Source organism: Homo sapiens, chromosome 3, assembly GCF_000001405.40.
Source record: "Homo sapiens chromosome 3, GRCh38.p14 Primary Assembly".
In the NCBI taxonomy this organism is placed as follows: domain Eukaryota; kingdom Metazoa; phylum Chordata; class Mammalia; order Primates; family Hominidae; genus Homo; species Homo sapiens.
The window spans coordinates 14,773,652-14,791,544 of NC_000003.12; the positions used below are offsets into that span (position 1 = coordinate 14,773,652).

General features: G+C 46.1%; 5 annotated features.

Moving 5' to 3' along the window:
• Positions 1,094–3,072: a meiotic recombination region, noted in NCBI's record as "this region was identified as a recombination hotspot within the HapMap CEU population". NCBI's record gives the evidence for it as "EXISTENCE:nucleotide sequencing assay evidence [ECO:0000219][PMID:20981099]".
• Positions 1,094–3,351: a meiotic recombination region, noted in NCBI's record as "this region was identified as a recombination hotspot within the HapMap YRI population". NCBI's record gives the evidence for it as "EXISTENCE:nucleotide sequencing assay evidence [ECO:0000219][PMID:20981099]".
• Positions 1,094–3,696: a biological region, named in NCBI's record as "meiotic recombination hotspot H".
• Positions 1,505–3,696: a meiotic recombination region, noted in NCBI's record as "meiotic double-strand break mapped by DNA meiotic recombinase 1 chromatin immunoprecipitation followed by single-stranded DNA enrichment and sequencing in the germ cells of some male individuals with the PRDM9 A/A, PRDM A/B and PRDM9 A/C genotypes". NCBI's record gives the evidence for it as "EXISTENCE:chromatin immunoprecipitation-seq evidence [ECO:0000229][PMID:25395542]".
• Positions 2,069–3,268: a meiotic recombination region, noted in NCBI's record as "crossovers mapped in sperm cells of males of European ancestry". NCBI's record gives the evidence for it as "EXISTENCE:DNA detection assay evidence [ECO:0005519][PMID:18650392]".

A 17,893-nucleotide genomic window follows, 5' to 3' on the forward strand; every position in this document is an offset into this window, starting at 1 on the left:
GCAGGCTGGGAGACTTAATGACAGAGTGCTCACCCCTAGGGACCCTTCAGTGATGCCCTGAAAGCCAGAGCCCTGTGGCCTCCTGGGGGCAGACATCCCCACTGAGCCCAGCCACAGTGCCATTTGGTGCATTTCGGGCTTCTTTCCTGAGCCACAGGCCTTAGAAATCCTTGCCAGCATCAAGGGGCCCAAGACAGTAGTCCCTCTGGGGTGCTAAGTTTCCCCATGTCCCTGAGGGTGCCTGTGAGGGACAGAGATAACCCCTGCTCTGGGCCCACGGCTCTGGGCTGTCTCGTCCTAACCCCTGCGCTGGGCCCACGACACTGGGCTGTCTTGTCTGGGTTCACCGGAGCCCTTTCCAGGAGCAGCTGAGGACTCCAGAAGGTCTACCTTTTTCTCCCAGCCCAGAGCAGAGCTCAGGCCTTGAGCTGCAGGCAGCATTTAGTGAGATGTTGCACTTAGAAATGCTTATGCTTCCTCTGTAATATAAGCTTTTTTAATCTGAATTTTTCAAGCTTTAATGTTTATCCTTTGTATCATTCAAAAATGTTTTTTGAATTATACACTTGTTCTTCTAGAAATGAATTTGAAATGGCTTGCGATATTCGTAAGCTTGTATCTTTGATATTTAAGGACCTTGATGTTTATCATGGGTCCCAGGGGCTCTATCCACTCTCCCCTCCTCCCCTCCTGAGCACAAGGACAGACAAGGATTGGAAGGCAAGGGAAAGAAAGTTCCACCTCTGTCCTTGCAGGCAGGCACCTTCCAGCCCCTAAGGCAAGACCTTGGTAAAGGCCGGAATGGAGACCTCGGCTCAGGCAAGGGCCTGAAACAAAGCCTCTGCCCTGCCACCCTAGACCTGCCTTGTGGGCCGTGTGCTCAGGAGTGCTTGCGTGGGTATGCCAAGCAGTCTGCATGCGCATGTCAACAGCCGCGAGCACTGTGCACACAGACCTGTCTCTGAAGGGCAGGTCCTGGCCCTGCCCACGGGGCTCACCACACTGAAAGGGGCAAAAATGAGCTGCTCGTGAGCGGGACGCCTCCCACTGGTGGAACAGGCCCAGCGAATGTCCAGGGCTGCAGAATCAAATGTACCTTAGGGAGGAGGGAGAAAAGGGGAAGCCCCTCTCCATGGAAACCCCAGGAGAGCAGGATAAGGCTTCACCCCTCAAAGATGCCCCCAACAAACCAGGCACGATGGAAAGGTGCTCGATCAACTGAGAACTGAGCCATAAACTGTTTTTGGACTCTTCAGGCTTCCTTCTGTTGTCGTTTTGGCTATAGGGAGGTCCAAGCCTCTCTAAGGAAAAAGCTGTGGCCCGATGCACATGGATGCTCTAGGGCAAACCCTGGCACATCTGCTGCTGCCTCACCCCCAGTCTTTGCAGGCAGCCCCTACCAACTACCTTCCCGTCTCTTCCATCCACGGAGTAGCTCTTTCCTCTAGCCAAGACTCAGTTTTTAGGAAGACTCCTCGGAGGAAGAGAGGGTGCAGCTAGAGCTAAAACCTACAGGGCGGGTTTTGTTAGGAGGCATTGCTGTGTGTGACCTGTGTCTGAGTAGGCGGCATCCCATTACTCACCTCCCAGGTTATCAGCCTGTCAGGGAGACATGGAATGGTCAGCAGCCCATGGCCTCTGGGAAATGGGAGCAGGGTCTCCCCTTATTACTGAGAATCCTTTCTTGTTCAGGCTGACCCAGTGGAAGGCCCAGGAGAGGGCAAGACTACCCATGAATAGACTCGGCGTCCAGGAAAACTAGGGCAAGGAGGAAACCCAGGAATCATGGTGTCTGACCCCTTGATCTGCAGGTGAACCCCCAAATTGGGGCTCAACTCATGAAAGTTTTTGGCTTTGCTTAGGAGGCAGCCCACAGTGAAAGAAAGCAAGTTTATTACAGCAACAGCTACAGCAAAATGGCTGCTCCATAGACAGAGCAGGGCTAGTTTATACCCACTCTTAATTATATGCTAAATAAGGGGTGGGATATTTGTGAACTTTCTGGAAAAGGGGCGGGGAGTTCCAGGAACCATGTAAGGTAACGTTCAGGGTGTTGCTATGGCATCATTCATAAACTATCGTGGCACTTGTGAGTGGCCTATGCAAATGTATTATAATTAGCATATAATGAGCAACAAGGGCAACTAGAGGTTGCTTTCATCACCATCATGGTCCTAGCTGGTTTGGGCCGGCTTTTTTGTTGTTCTTGTTACACTATGCTTCCATCAGCAGGGCAGTGACCAAGGCTTGGAAGACAAGTCCTGCTGATCTCCCACCTCACCCTCACTTTATAAAAAAGGAGACTGAAGCCCAGAGGAAGGATGGCGGTACAGTCAGCACACGGCAGCAGCGGGCAAGGTCTCCTCCCACCCCTCCCTGTGGAGGTGCATCCAGGACCTAGAGGAGGGAAACAAGGGCGAGGCTTCTGTCTCCAGCAACACTGCGCACTAAATGGCCTGAAAACACCATCTTGTTAGAAAACGCTAGAAATACTGGATAACATAAATTAAATACCCCTTTAATTACATATGGGAACTCACAAGGTCATAGGAAAAATCTTCAGGGGCTGAAACACAAGAGGAAGGAGGGGAAACCAGGTGGTAAGCACTTGTCTCATCAGCGTAAGTGACAAGGTGGTCTTTTCAAGGAATGGTGCTGGAACAACCAGACAGTTGTTTGGGAAAAATTAAATCAATCTTTACTTCATACCACTCACAATAATTAATTCAAAATGGATCATAGACCTGTACTTAAGAGCTAAAATTACAACAATTCTAGAGGAAAACATAAGGAAATATTTGTGATTTTAAAACAAAGATTTCCTAGGACAGTAAGAAAAAAAGAAAAGAAAAATAAAATGGACTGGACTTCACCTTAAAAACTTCTCTTCCAAAAACACTTTAAGAAAATATAACGGTGTACCACAAACTGGGAGAAAAATACAAATTTCTGGAATAAAGACCTCTTACGACTCAGGAAGAAAACCCTGTATTTTTTTTAAAGGACTAAATATTTGAACATACATTTTGCAAAAGTAGATATATAGATGGTTAAAAAAAAATGACAAGATGTCCAATGTCATCAGTCTTTAAGGAAATGCAAATTAAAACCACAAATGAGATACTACTAGAAACCTATTAGAATGGCTAAAAAAATTTTTTTTGAACTGAAAATGCCAAGTACTGGAAAGTATGTGCAGCAGCTAGAACTCCCATACATTGCTGGTGGGAGTGCAAAATGGTAAAAGTACTTTGGAAGAGCATTTGATGGTTTCTTATTAGTCACACTTCTTATAAGAGCAGTGCGAAGGCCCAGGGTGAGGAGCAGGTGGCAGACCCATTCTGTGAGGAGTGGTTGGAGGGCTTGGGCTGGCTCAGCCTGCACCCAAAGCCTGAGAGAGGCTCAGTCACTGTCCCTCACCTCTGCATGTCTGTCCCAAGGCCTGAAACTGGGAAAGTGAAATCACAGGCAGGTTTCAGCAATCTTCTGTTGAAATAAGATGGGATTTTTAGGCTGAATCCCAAAAACCATAGTCAGAAATTTCCCCAAGAACCCCTAGGTCCAAAGATGAATAGGGCCAGAGCTAGAACCAGCAGGATGTCTGTTCTGCAAGATATAAACACCCACCAAAGGCAGCCTGGTTTTCACCCACCTGGCAAGCCGACATGAACTGCTGGCTCCTTCCCTGCCCCAGAGAAACTGTGAAGCAAGTGTGGACACCAGGAACTAAACCCTTTAAGAAAAACCTGGAAGACTAAATGTGTCTAAAACTGGTTTGGTTGCAGGGGAAAATGTGGGTGGCTGCAGCCTGAGGAGGACAGGAGATGGGTGCAGTGGAAGAGAGCTGTATGAAATCTTCCCCAGCTCTGCCCTGCCTTTCCTCAGCAGAGCCTTGGGGCGGTCTTTACCTGCCTCTTTACTGCAGCAACAGCAGCAGCCCAGGCCACTGGTGCAGATGCAGGGGTTAATACTGAAGGACAGCAAAGGCTTTGCCATTAAGGTGTTGACGAAAGCAGATGATAACTCCCAGGTGCCTTTGACCATTTAAAAGCTCCATCTTGGCCAGATGTGGTGGCTCACGCCTGTAATCCCAGTACTTTGGGAGGCCTAGGCAGGTGATTCACCTGAGGTCAGGAGTTCAAGACCAGCCTGGCCAACATGCTAAAACCCTGACTCAACTAAAAATACAAAAAACTTAGCCAGGTGTGGTGGCGGGCGCCTGTAATCCCAGCTACTCAGGAGGCTGAGGCGGGAGAATCGCTTGAACCTGGGAGGCGGAGGTTGCAGTGAGCCAAGATCGCGCCACTACACTCCAGCCTGGGCAACAAGAGTGAAACTCCATCTCAATAAATAAATAAATAAATGCTCCATCTTTTCCCCTCCAAACTACTGATTACAAGGCCGTGAGAGGCCCCCTCTGATGGTGGGTGCTGCTTCCCCCAGGGATTTTTAAGGTCATACTCTAGCCAGGGAATTTGCCTAGTGGAGTGACAATAAATCTGAGTGAGGAACAAAGGTTTTGGGGTAAAGGGGCTCATTCGTTTACCAGCTCTGACATAGATTGGGGCTTGGCTTGTCATTCTTCCCCAAAACACATAAGCAGAGCAGCTGATGAGGAACATCATACATATAAGACAAAAGCTGAAGAGCCAGTTAATAGATTAGAAGACTATACTATAGAACTCTCCCAGAATCAGGAAAGGTTAACTATGTATAAAATATAAAAACAAGCCTGGGAAACAGAGTGAGACCCTGTCTCTACAAAAAATTTAAAAATTAGCCAGGTGTGGTGGTGTGCCTGTGGTCCCAGCTACTCGGGAGGCTGAGGTGGGAGGATTGCTTAAGCCTGGGAGGTCAAGGCTGCAGTGAGCTGTAATCACACCAATGCACTCTGGCCTGGGTAACAGAGCAAAACCCACAGCTCAGATATATATAACACTGAAAGATGTGGAGAAAAAATAAAGTACCAAAACCCAGATGATAAGGGTCCTGGAGGGTAAAAAAAAATAAAAATGTAGAGAAGGAACTATTATTTGAAAAAATAATGGAGATAATATGCCATAATTATGAAAAATGAAAGACTTCAGGGTAAAATTAATCAGAGTGCCAAACAGAAGAGTTAAGGAAAAACCTACACATGGACATATTACAGTGAAATCTGAGAAAAAAAAATCTCTAAAAGATACCAGAGAGAAGCAGACCACCTACAAAGAAACAAGGGTCAAGCTGACATCAGATTTTTCATAGCAATGCTAGAAGTGAGAAGAATGTAATATCTTTAAAGAGTTATAGGCAAAGTACTCTAAACTGTAGGGGTAGGAGTAGAGATACTAAAGAGACATAGCAGTGTGAAAAAGTATTTAGCTTGTTTAGGGGAAAAGTAGACACTGATAAGCATAAGCATCAATAGGAATAAGCAGGTATAAAATTGGTCTTAATGGCACCCACCATAAGACCAAAATAGAATGTATAACTTTTTGACTGCTCGGGAATACTCTGTTTGTCCAAGGGAAACAAGTGAAGAGGAAAAAAAAAAAAAGTAAAAAAGTAATACCAAAAACAAGTCTCAATATAAGGTTAGTATAATAAATGTAAATGGGTTAAACTTGCCAATCAAAAAATAGAGACTTTCATATACAAAAACTTGTACATGAATGTTCACTGAAGCATTATTCACAATAGCCATAAAGGGGAAACAACTCAAATGTCCATCAGTTGATGAATAGATGAATAAATTATGGTATATCCGTAAAGTAGAATGTTACTCAGCAGTAAAAAGAATACAATTTTGATTCATTTTACAACATGGGTGAACCTTGAAAATATTATGCTAAGTCAAAGAAAACAGTCACAAAAGACCACATATTATATGATTCTATTTACATGAAATATACAGAATAGGCAAATTTATAAAATCAGAAACTAGAGTAGTAGTTGCCTAGGACTGGAGGGCAGGAGAAACAGGGAGTGATTTTTAATGGATATAGAATTTCTTTTGGAATTGTGAAAATATTCTAAAATTAGTGGTGATGGTTGCACAACTTTGTAAATATACTAAAAATCACTGAATTTTACATTTTAAATGGGTGAACTGTGTGGTATGTGAATTATATCTCAATAAAGCTGTTAAAATGTTTAAAATGTAGGGATTCTCAGATTAGGTTTAAAAATACAAGATCTGACTCTATGTTGTCTACTTGAGACAGTCAAAATAGAAAGACACATAAATATTGAAGATAAAGGACTAGAAATATATACCAGGCAAATATGAACCTAAAAAGCTAGGATAGCAATCCTAATATCTGACAAAATATAATTTAAACCAAAAATATAGAGGATAGAGAAAGATGTTATATAGGGGTAAGAGAAACAATAGAACAAGAATGAAAATGCACCAGGATGTATGCAGTTTCAAAATACATCAAGAAAAAAAAAAACATAAAACCAACTTAAAATGAATTTTCTTATTTTTTTTTTTAAGAGACGGGGTCTTACTATATCACCCAGGCTGGTCTTGAACTCCCGGGCTTAGGTTATCCTCCCACCTCAGCCTCCTGAGTAGGTAGGACTATAGGCACACACCACTGCATCCAGCTAATGAAGTGAATATTTAAAAATACCATTCCCAGAAATTAATAAAGCAGACAAAAAATAAGCAGAGATATCAAAGTTCTGTATAATGCTATCAGTGAGCTTGACTGCGTGTATGTGAATCTACCTAAAATATAGAGAACCCACATTCTTTTTTGACGCCTGTGGAACTTTGTAAAAGATATACCATATATTAGATCATAAAGGAAGCCTCATTCAATCCAGAGGAATTTACAGATTATATTATCCAAGTAGGATGCAATGAAGTTAGAGACAAATAACAAAAATGTCTTAACACTCTAGGTCTTTGGTTAAAATTGAAATCCTAAAGGAAATTCAGAAATATTTAGAATTGAATGATAATGAAAATGCTACAATGTCAGAATTTGTGGCACACAGCTAAAACAGTATTTGGAAGAAAATGTAGAGCTTTAAGTACATTTATTATTATTACTTGGCTATTTTTTTAGCCAAAAAAGGCTAAAAATAAGAAAGACATGCAGACGTTAATGAAATGGTGAAGATGACCAAACCCTAAAACTAGTCCTTTAAATGAATTAATAAGTGGACCCCCAGAAAGATATATAACAGCTTGGGAAAAAAAGAGAAATAAAGATCTTTTTAAAAATATTATTATGAACAATCAGACAACAATAAATGTGAAAACCTAGATGAAACCTGGGGCAAAGCCTGCCGTGTATTCCCAAATGATTTCCCTTCCTTCTGGGCACACAGCCCTGTTACACTTCCCATTCTCCCATGGATTCATCTGCAGCCAGGTGCCTAAGTTCTGGCTAATGAAATGTGGGTGGCAGTTAAGTTCACCACCTCCAGGCCCAGCCTGTAAAAGCTAACCCCGCAGCGCCCCCATGCTGTCCGCAGGGAAGAATGCTGGATACAGAAGCGCCAGTGGAGGACTCTGAGCTCTTAATGCTCCCACAAGATGGGAGAGTTCTGGCTCTCAGAGCCCTTCCCCAGCCCACGACGGACAATGTCAAGAGCGGGAAATAAACTTCATTGTGTTAAGCCACTGATATTTTTGGGTTTGATTGGTATATCAATTACCTCCCTAATGTAAAATGGATATGTTTCTTAAAAAAACACCAGTATTGTTGCAAAAAGAAATCAAAAACTGGAAAAAACCTGGAATTGTAAATAAATGGAAACGGCAGTCAGTCTTATGCGTGTGCACGTGCACACACGCACATCCCAAAACCCAGGTCCATATGGTTTTACAGGTGAGTTTAAAATAGCTCATGTGGCTCACGCCTGTAATCCCAGCACTTTGGGAGGCCGAGGCAGGTGGATCACTTGAGCTCAGGAGTTCAAGACCAGCCTGGCCAACATGGTGAAACCCTGTCTCTGCAAAATATACAGAAATTAACTGGGCATGGTAGCCTGTAGTCCCAACTACTCCAGAGGCTGAGCAGAGAGGATGGCTTGAGCCTGGGAGGCAGAGGTTGCAGTGAGCTGAGATCACACCACTGCACTCCAGCCTGGAAGACAGAGCCAGACCATGTTTCAAAAAAAAAACAAAAAACTGTTTATGTGTGTGTTTTATAAGCTGTTCCTAAAAATAGCAAATTTTATTTTATAAAGCTCTATGTAAGTTTTGTCAAAGTACAATGTAAATATAGAAAAGTAAACAGTGTTTAAGCTCCATCTGAATGAATTTGTCAAGGTAAACATACCCCTATGATATAGTTTGGATATTTGTCCCTGCCTAAATCTTATGTTGAATTGTAATCCCCAGTGTTGGAGGTGGGGACTGGTGGGAGGTGTTTGGGTCATGGTGGGGGATCCCTCATAGCTTAATCTTGTTCTCAAGACAGTGAGTTCTCGTGAGATCTGGTTTTTGTAAAGCATGGTACCTCCCCACCCACTCTCTCTTGCTCCTGCTTTCACCATGCAAAGTGCCTGGTCCCCCTTCGCCTTCTGCCATGAATAAGAGCTTCCTGAGGCCTCCCCAGAAACTGAGCAGATGCTGGCCCCATGCTTGTACAGCCTGTAGAAACATGAGCCAATTAAACCTCTTTCCTTCATAAATTACCCAGTCTCAGGTATTTCTTTATAGCAGTGCAAGAATAGACGAACACAGCACATGACTAGAATCCAGAGCAAATCATCACCTGCCTCCGCCATAGGTTAGTTTTGCCTGTTTTTACATTTTATTCAAATGGCATCACATACTGTGCACTCTTTTGTGTCTGGGTTCTTTTATATTCATTATGTTTATGAAATCCATCCTTGTTGTATGTGATTGAAGTTCATTCAATCGCATTGGTTTATAGAATTTCACTGTACAGTTATACCACAATATATTTTTCCATTCTACTGTAGATGGGCAATTGGGTGGTTTCTGAGCCTAGTGTACCTCAAAATCAGATAAGGTCAATACAAAGAAGAGAAGATGAAAATCTCATTGCTTATTTCACTGATGAATGTAGGTACAAACATTCTAAATAAAAGATTAGCTAACTGAATCCGATGGTATATTTATTTTTTTAAATAATACATTATGTCAGGTAAGGTTTATCCTAGCAATGCCAAGACAGTTCAATGTCAGAAAATAAATCAATATAATTCGCTATATTAATAGACTAAATAAGAAAAATCAAATTCTATCTCGACTGGTGAATAAAATTTATTAGGTAAAGCCTAGCAAGCTGGAAATAGAAGGTCACTTTCTTAACCTAGTGAAGTTTATATAAGAAAAACCCACAACAAATATTTTTCTTAATGGAGACACTTTATTTTATTATATTATTATTATTTATTTTTTTTTTTGAGATGGAGTTTCACTCTTGTTGCCCAGGCTGGAGTGCAATGGAGCAGTCTTGGCTCACCGCAACCTCTGCCTCCCGGGTTCAAGCAATTCTCCTGCCTCAGCCTCCCAAGTAGTTAGGATTACAGGCGCCTGCCACCATGCCCGACTAATTTTTGTATTTTTAGTAGTGACAAGGTTTCATCATGTTGGCCGGACTGGTCTCGAACTCCTCACCTCAGGTGATCCACCCGCCTCGGCCTCCCAAAGTGCTAGGATTACAGGCATGAGCTGCCGTGCCCAGCAATGGAAACACTTTAAATGTTTTAATCTTCCCTGTAAAAAGACAAGGATACTACTTCAACACCACTGTCCAAAATATATTAGAGCTCTTCAACACTCTACAGAAAGAAATTGAAACAGGTACAAGGATGTAAGAGCAAAAGATAAAATTGTCAGTATTGAAGATAATTTAATCATCTACCTAGAAAAACCAACAGAGTCAATAGACAAACTGTTAGAACTGACATAGATTCAGCAAGATGCCAGATGCAAGTGCAACCTATAAAGCTGGTTTCTCATAGTGAAAAGCAGCAGGCCAGGCTGCAGGCACAGCAACACAAGGTCTCAAAACACACAGATGATGGATAAAAAACAGTGGCATTAGGTGCCAGGAATGGACTGAGGCAGGAAAAAGACAGTGTGCCTGAGAGGATGGGGCCCCTCTGCAGAGGGCCTGGGATGTCCTCCTAGGCCACAAAGATCCAGAATAGATACGTGGCTGCAGGTTGCTGAAACCCCCAACACCCCCACCCAGAACCCTCAAATATTTACCCCTTCAATAAATATTAACAACACCTCTTTCTCCCTGCACTGCCCCCCACTCTGGCCTTGAGGCTATGGGCAAGCAACTTTGGTCTCTGGACTGCCACTTCCTTATCTATAAAATGGGATGATCCCAATAAGCAACTTCCCAGGGATATTGGGTGGGTTAAATATGATAATACAGAGAAAGGATTTAGCTCATGCTTACTAAACATAAGTGAGAATAACTATTAATAAAATGATTAAGGCGCTCCCCCTGCCTTCCGTAATGCCAGCCTGCACTCCAGCAGGGCCCACCCCACTGCGGGCTGCTTCCAGTCTGCAGCTCCCTCAAGGGTTAAGTGGCTTGGCTGCGGGCCAAGGAGCAGGAGCAGGAGCAGGAATAAAGCATCAGCCCCAGCAGCAGCATCTCCCTATCTGTGAGCAATCTCCTCTGGCCCCCAGCTCAGGCCTTGGGAAATAAAAGCCCAGCCAGCTCCTGCCAGCTGCATCATAATGACTTTCCCCTTCCAGGAAGGAGATTGGGTGGGCCTTCCCCTCCTGCCTCTTTCTCCCTTCCCTAGGTTTAGGGGCTGCTGGGGACACGTGAACTGCCCCGAAGCTGTCAGCTCACATATGAGAAAGAGAGTGGGTTGTTTCGGCTGCTGGCCCTGTGGGGTTGGAGGGAAGGACAACAGGGAGGGGTCCTGGCTCTGGGAGGTGGGGAGCAGGAGGTAGGAGGTGCCCAGTTGGTATGCCCTTGGTATTCTGCATCTCAGCGTATCCTCCCCTGGGTCTGGACAGGATGTTTCCAACTGCAGCTTGTGACCCAGTAGTGAATTGCAAAATCCATGGAGTGGGTTGTGATGCGCATTTTGAAAGAGACAGCTGGGATAGAAAATACGCCTTGCATATAATAAAGCACAGGCTTTATTTCAGTCACCCATGAGTATAGTGGTTAAAAATGCAAGCCCCAGGCCAGGTGCGGTGGCTCACACCTGTAATCCCAGCTACTTGGGAGGCTGAGGTGGGAAAATCACTTGAACCTGGGAGGCGGAGATTGCAATGAGCCAAGATCACGCCACTGCACTCCAGCCTGCACGACGGAGCAAGACTCTGCCTCAAAAAAGCAAAACAAAAAATGCAAGCCCTGGAGCCCACCTGTCCAGCCACATGACCCCAGGTGTGTTAACTCTCCAGGCCTCAGTTTCCTCATCTGCCCATGGGGGGAAAACAGCATGACATGGGTTATTGTGAGAAGTTAAGGAGTGGTTCAGGAGTGGAGCTCAGGGAACATGCAAACGCCGGGAGTGGGTTCTTTCTTTTGTCTTCACTGTGCAAAACGTATTTCTTCCTCAAGAAAGTGGTCAGGAAAGCTTGAAAGCCACTGGATTTGAGGATTGGGTACAGAACCGGTTTATGGCAAGAATTCAGGGTACAGCCTTGGGCAGGGAGGTTGTTCTTAGCAAATTAAAAGGGAGGGGCCCGAGAGGAAACGGAAAAGTGAGAGTTCCCAGAGGCTGATCTGCCTGTGCACAGCCCTCTACAGTGGACACCACCCGCTGGCTTTCCTCGCTGCTCCCTCACACAAGTATCTTTACAGGAATCCTTACTCGTTGCTGGTCATTCAGTCAGCTGTTTTTTAATGAGCAGCTACTACACACCAGGACTTGGCCGTTTGATGGTGAAATGGAAGGCAGAGCCCACCCCTCCCTGATTGTACAGGTGAGGAAATCACCATGCTTGTCTTCCACCTACATGGAGCAGGCGCCGAGCTGACCTGGCTTTGCCTCATGTGATGCCCACCTCGGTGCCTCCCATGCCCAGCAGTCCATTTTCAAATGGGAAACGGAAGCTGGGAGTGGGGAAAAGCCTTGTCCGTGACCTCTCAGCCCATCTGTGGTGGAGCAGGATCTGATCCGGGACTCCATGCCCCACAGCTGCCGGGCAGCCCTTAGCCATCCTCACTGGGCTGGTGAGCCCCGGCTGCTCTCTGTGCAACCAAAATATACACGAGCCCACCTTCCTGCCTCCGCTCTCCACTCCACCCCTCAGCCTTCCCTCTCCATCATGGTGTCCTTCTTTCTGTCCTTCGGGCATGCCGAGATCCACCCCAACCTCAGGGCCTTGGCATGGCCACTCCCACTGCCCCGAAGGCTTGTTTGCTGGATCTCCACATGGTCAGCAACTTACCATCAGTCAGTCTCAGCTCCTCAGAGGGGCCCCTGCCCTCCCTGCTAGTGTTGTCCATTTCCATCCCCCAGACTCCTGCCAGCAGGTCACCTATTTTATTTCCCTCTTGGGGCCTATTGCTACCTGGTTTTGTTCAGTTGGGCACTGTCAGTCTCTCTGATGCACATGCAAGCTTTCAGGTTCTAGTCCTGCCCTATAAAGCAGGGCAATCTTGGATAAGTCACTTTCTCTCTGTCAGCCCCAGTTTCCTCATCTGTATCATGGGGACACTAACATCTACCTTTCAGCATATTGGCGAGGATGCAATGTGACTATGACACAGTGCCCAGCACACAGTAGGTGTATATCACACAGAAGGTGGTTTAATAAAAGTGGACGTGACAAACGCCCCAATTAAAAAATGGACAAAGCCACTGAATAGACATTTCTCCAAAGATATATAAATGCCCAATAAATACATGAGAAAACATTCGATATCATTAGCCATTAGGGAAATACCAATCAAAACCACAATGCAACACCACTTCACACCCACTAGGATGGCTATCATCAAAAGACAAACAACAACCAGTGTTGGTGAGGATGTGGGGAAACTGGAACACTCATCCATTATTGGAGGGAATGACAATGGGGCAACCACTTTGGAAATCAGCCTGGCAGTTCCTCAAGCAGTTAAACATAGAGTTACCAGAGGAATTGCTGAATTCCACTCAAGAGAAATGAAAACATATCCACACAAAAACTTGTACACTAATGGCTAAGCAAATTTTGATAAATCTATAGCAGGGAATATTATTCTGCAGCAAACAGGAATGAAGTACTGATATGTACTATAACATGGATGAACCTGGAAAACATTTGGTTAACTGGGAGAAGGCAATCTTGAAAGGCCATATGTTGAGTGATTCCATTTTTTGGTGGTGTTGTTGTGGTTGTTTGTTTGTTTTTGTTTTTGTTTTTTGAAACAGTCTAGCTCTGTGGCCCAGGCTGGAGTGCAGTGGTGCGATCCCGGCTCACTGCAACCTCCACCTCCTGGGTTCAAGCAATTCTCCTGCCTCAGCCTCCTGAGTAGCTGGGACTAACAGGTGTGCACCACCGGCTAATTTTTTGTATTTTTAGTAGAGACAGGGTTTCACTATATTGGCCAGGCTGGTCTCAAACGCCTGACCTCAGGTGATCCCCGAAGCCTGGGCCTCCCAAAGTGGTGGGATTACAGGTGTGAGCCATCGTGCCCAGCCTTGAGTGATTCCATTGTATGAAATGGCCAGAATAGGCAAATCTATAGAGACAGAATCTAGATGAGTGGCTGACTGGGCAGTGGAGAAGGGGTGGAGCGTGACTGCCAGAGCATGTGGGGTAATGAAAATGTTCTGAAATTGACTGTGGTGATGTACAGAATTGTACATTATCTGTGAATATACTAATAACCACTGAATTGTACACTTTAAATGGGTGAATTGTGTGCTATGTTGAAAACAACCCTATGAGGTCAATTCTCTTACCATTTTACAGATAATTCAGTTGAGGCATAGAGAGAAGATCACACAGCTAGGCAGTGGCAGGGTGAGGACTGGAACCCAGGTGGTCCGGCTCCAGAGTGCACATTCTTAACTGCTTGCACATCTGTCACCTAGAAACATGTTGGAATTTCTGGAGTACCTGTTCTTGTAATCTCTAACTAGCCAGTAATAATAGCTACTATTTATTTAGTAGACAGACACGTGCCTCATCAGGCACTGGGCACAGTTCTTCCCCTGAGATTAGCCAATTTAATCACTCCCATTGTTCAGATGAGGAGATAGGCTTGGGGAAGCCCAGGAAGTTGTCAGAGTCCCCTCCGTGAGCGAGCAGCTGAGCTTGGCTGTCAACTCTCCCATCTGGCAGGCGAACCTTCACCCTCTCTACTCCTTCTAGCTGCCTCCTGGAACAGGTCATGGAGCCCGCCAGCTTCCTTTACAAACGGGGAAACAGAGGTTCCAAGCAGGCAAGTGCCTGGCCAAGGTGAGGCAGTCCCGTGGGCCTCAGCTTTCCCACCAGTGAGATGAAGGTGGGAGTAGATTCCTAGTTCCTTCTGCTTTCCAAGATTTAGTGGTTCTTTATGTAGCAGGTTAATCTTGCCATTCTAAATGTTTTCCCCTGGGAAGCAAGAAACATAAATAAAAGCTTGCCTTGATTCTCAGTCTGTGGGTGTCATGGGAATGGCCAGTTAGGATATCGAAGCAAGAGGCAACTGGCCACAGGGCAGAATGATATGGAGGCGGTTCCAGCCAGCGGGCAAAGCCCCTAGGTGAACTCTCAGAGCAGATGGGCTGATGGGCTTTTCTAGGTGTGGGAAGGAGAAGGGAAGGGGAAGCATTCTGAGCATCCTTGGTCCAGCCCATCCTGAACACCCACTAAGGACTGAGACCCAAAGCAGGCACATTTACAGCCACTGCCCTCCTTAATCCTCGTAATGTGTGCTAATAGCTCTCCCTTTCACATTTGGGGAAAGTGAGGCCAGGGAACCCAAAGCCAGAGAAAACTGAGCAGGTTGCCAGGGACCGTGTCCTAGATGTGGCCAGGGAGGTGAGATGGGCTGGGCTGGGCTGAGGTGGGGGCAGATAGAGCCTGCAGAGGCTTCTTCCAGGAGGCATCACTGCTCTCTGGAAGTGGTGGCAGGGGTGGTATTTGCCTATCTGCAATGAGGGGGCTGGGGCTCTTTCCTGGCCTTTATCTCTGCCCACCTCCGCAGACTCTCGTAGCCTGGCTGTGGCCACAGCAGTGGCAGCTATCTTCTCCTGTGAAAGGAGTGATGCTCCCAGCATCTGTAGGTCAGTCTCAGGGAAGGCTCGGATTGGCTACTCCTCGAACCAGTCACTGTTGCCCCGGGGACAGAGAACTGTGATTGGCCAGTCTGGGTCACATGCCCACCACATGTAAGGCATCAGAGTTTGTCACCAAGAGAAGGCGAATGGGAAAACTTACTGGGCAATCAAAAACAATAGCTGCCACGATCTGTTCCCTGTGCTGTGTGTCCTGGATGGTGTCATGCCTCCTCTGGGCCTGTTTCCTCATCTGTAAAAACTAGGTTAGAGGCAAAAGAAGGGGAGGAGTCTCTGATGACTCCTCCCCCTCCTTAAGCCTGCAGGTTCTATAAATGTGCCACACTTTGAGGGTGACTTTGCCCCATCAGAGATCCCCTCCTTGTGGTCCCTTTGGTCTCCACATTACTGAGCTCTTCTTTCAGACCCTGCACTGAGGGCTGTCGGCACATGCTGTCATTCCAGCCTGACATGAGCTCCAAGTGGAAGGGACTCTCATTCTCTCCATTTTGAAAATGAAACTAGACTTTATTTTTGGGAGTGGCTGTAGATTCACAGCAAAATTGAGCATAAGCTACAGACAGTTCCCAGGTACCCCGGCACCGCCCCCAACACAGCCTCCCCCACCGTCAGCCTCCCCACTAGAGTGGTGCAGTTGTTACAATCAATGGATCTACACTGACACGATTACCACCCAAAGACCACAGTCTACATAAAGGCTCACTTTTGCTGTTGCACATTCTAGGGGTTTGGACAAATGTATGGCATGTCCACCACTATAGCATCACACAGAATAGTGTGTGGGGAGCACTGGAAGGACTTTGGGTTTTTCCTGGATTGAGGTGGGAGCCATGGAGGGGGCCGAACAGAAGAGGGACCTCCTGCTTTCAGCAGAGTCCTTCTGACTGCCCGAAAGAACTGTCTGTCTGGGGGCAAGACGGAGGCAGGGAGAGTGTGGCTGTGTCTTGAAGATCAAGGCAATAGGGTGTCCTAACAGATCAGATTTGGGGCAAGAGAGAAAGAGAGGAGGCAGGAATGACGTCAGTGTTTTGTAAAGATAGGGCTGCTTCTCCTGAGTGGGAGAGACTGTAAAGCAGCAGGCTCGGGAGGAGGACTGGGGACTGGGTTCTATTTGTGCTCATTAGAGCTGCGCACTCAGCATGGCCTGGCGGAGAGGGCTGCTGCCACCTTCTGCAGGTCCCCATCCAACCTGTCACTTTTGCAGGTGCAAGAGGCAGGGACAGGACCTCGGCTCAGGGAAGAGATTGCTGGGGAAGGAGAACATCCTGGAGGGGCTGTACGCTATAAAGGAGGTAATGGAAATGACCTACACCCCTGAGAGCTGGGCTGTGGGCCACATCCTAGTATGCCCCAGTCTGAGATCCAGGACTCTTCCACAGGCTGGCCTGGGGCATGTGGAGATAGTCAGGAGGGGACTCTCAAGGGATGGCAGGAATGCTCACCTCGTATTTTCTTTTGTTTGTTTGTTTGTGACAGAGTCTCTTTCTGTCGCCCAGGCTGGAGTATGGTGGCACAATCTTGGCTCAGTGTAGCGTCTGCCTCACGGGTTCAAGCAATTCTCGTGCCTCAGCCTCCCGAGTAACTGGGATTACAGGCATGTGCCACCATGCCCAGATAATTTTTTTATTTTTACTAGAGACAGGGTTTCACCATGTTGGTCAGGCTGGTTTCGAACTCCTGACCTCAAGTGATCCTACTGCCTTGGCCTCCCAAAGTGCTGGAATTACAGGCGTTTGCCACTGCACCCGGCCTTACCTTGTTAGTATTTTCAAGCATAAACTGCTTTATTTTAGGTGGAAGCACAAAGGAACAGAGTGAGAAAGATATTCCTTCCCATCTGTTCCCATCCTCCCATGCCATCAAGGAGTCTCAGGTGGCTGCCACCCCGACTTGAACAGCTCTTTGATGCTTGCCAGTTTCCCTTTTTGGGTTTTTGTTTTTGTATTTGGTTTTTTGTTTGTTTTTGAGACAGAGTCTTGCTTTCTTGTCCAGGCTGGAGTGCAGTGGCACAGTCATAGCTCACTGCAGCCTCAAACTCCCAGGCTCAAGCAATCCTCCCACCTCAACCTCCCGAGTAGCTGAAACCACAAGTGTGCCACCATGCCCAGATAACTTTCTTTTTTTTTTTTGGTGGAGACAGGGCAGGGTCTCACCATGTTGCCCAAACTGGTCCATTTTCCCCTTTTAACTAAGGCAGAGCAGGTCTCAAGCTCACAGCCTCGGGTAGGCAACAGTATTTGGCTAGAATTTAACAATGTAGCTTTATGCCCGGTCTGTCCATTTTACAGTGACCTTATATTTATGGCAAAGCAAGGCAGTAATTGGAAGTTTCCTTTTTAAATACACCTAAGTTGAAAATGTGGATGGATTTAGTGAAAGATATTCAACAAATAAGACGTGGCAAACATCCTTAAGATGATGTATATATCTCTGGCATGTGGGAAATGGCCCTGAATAAACACGTTTCCAGGGGTGTTGAGGTTTGGCTGGTGTGCTCCTTTCATTTCAGGGTGCTTGCTGTGTCTGTTCCCACTCTCTGTGATATTTTGCTCCCCTCTCCCTTGTCCTCTGGGATGTGGGAACGAGTCGGGGGATTCAGCCTTTGTTCCATCCTTAGCCAGGTTCTGAGGACTCTTTTTTTACATGCGGTCAGTGCTCCTGTCACCTCCAGTCCACTGGGGGGCGTCTCTGCACTGGCCAGACCCGTCCCGCTTGCAGG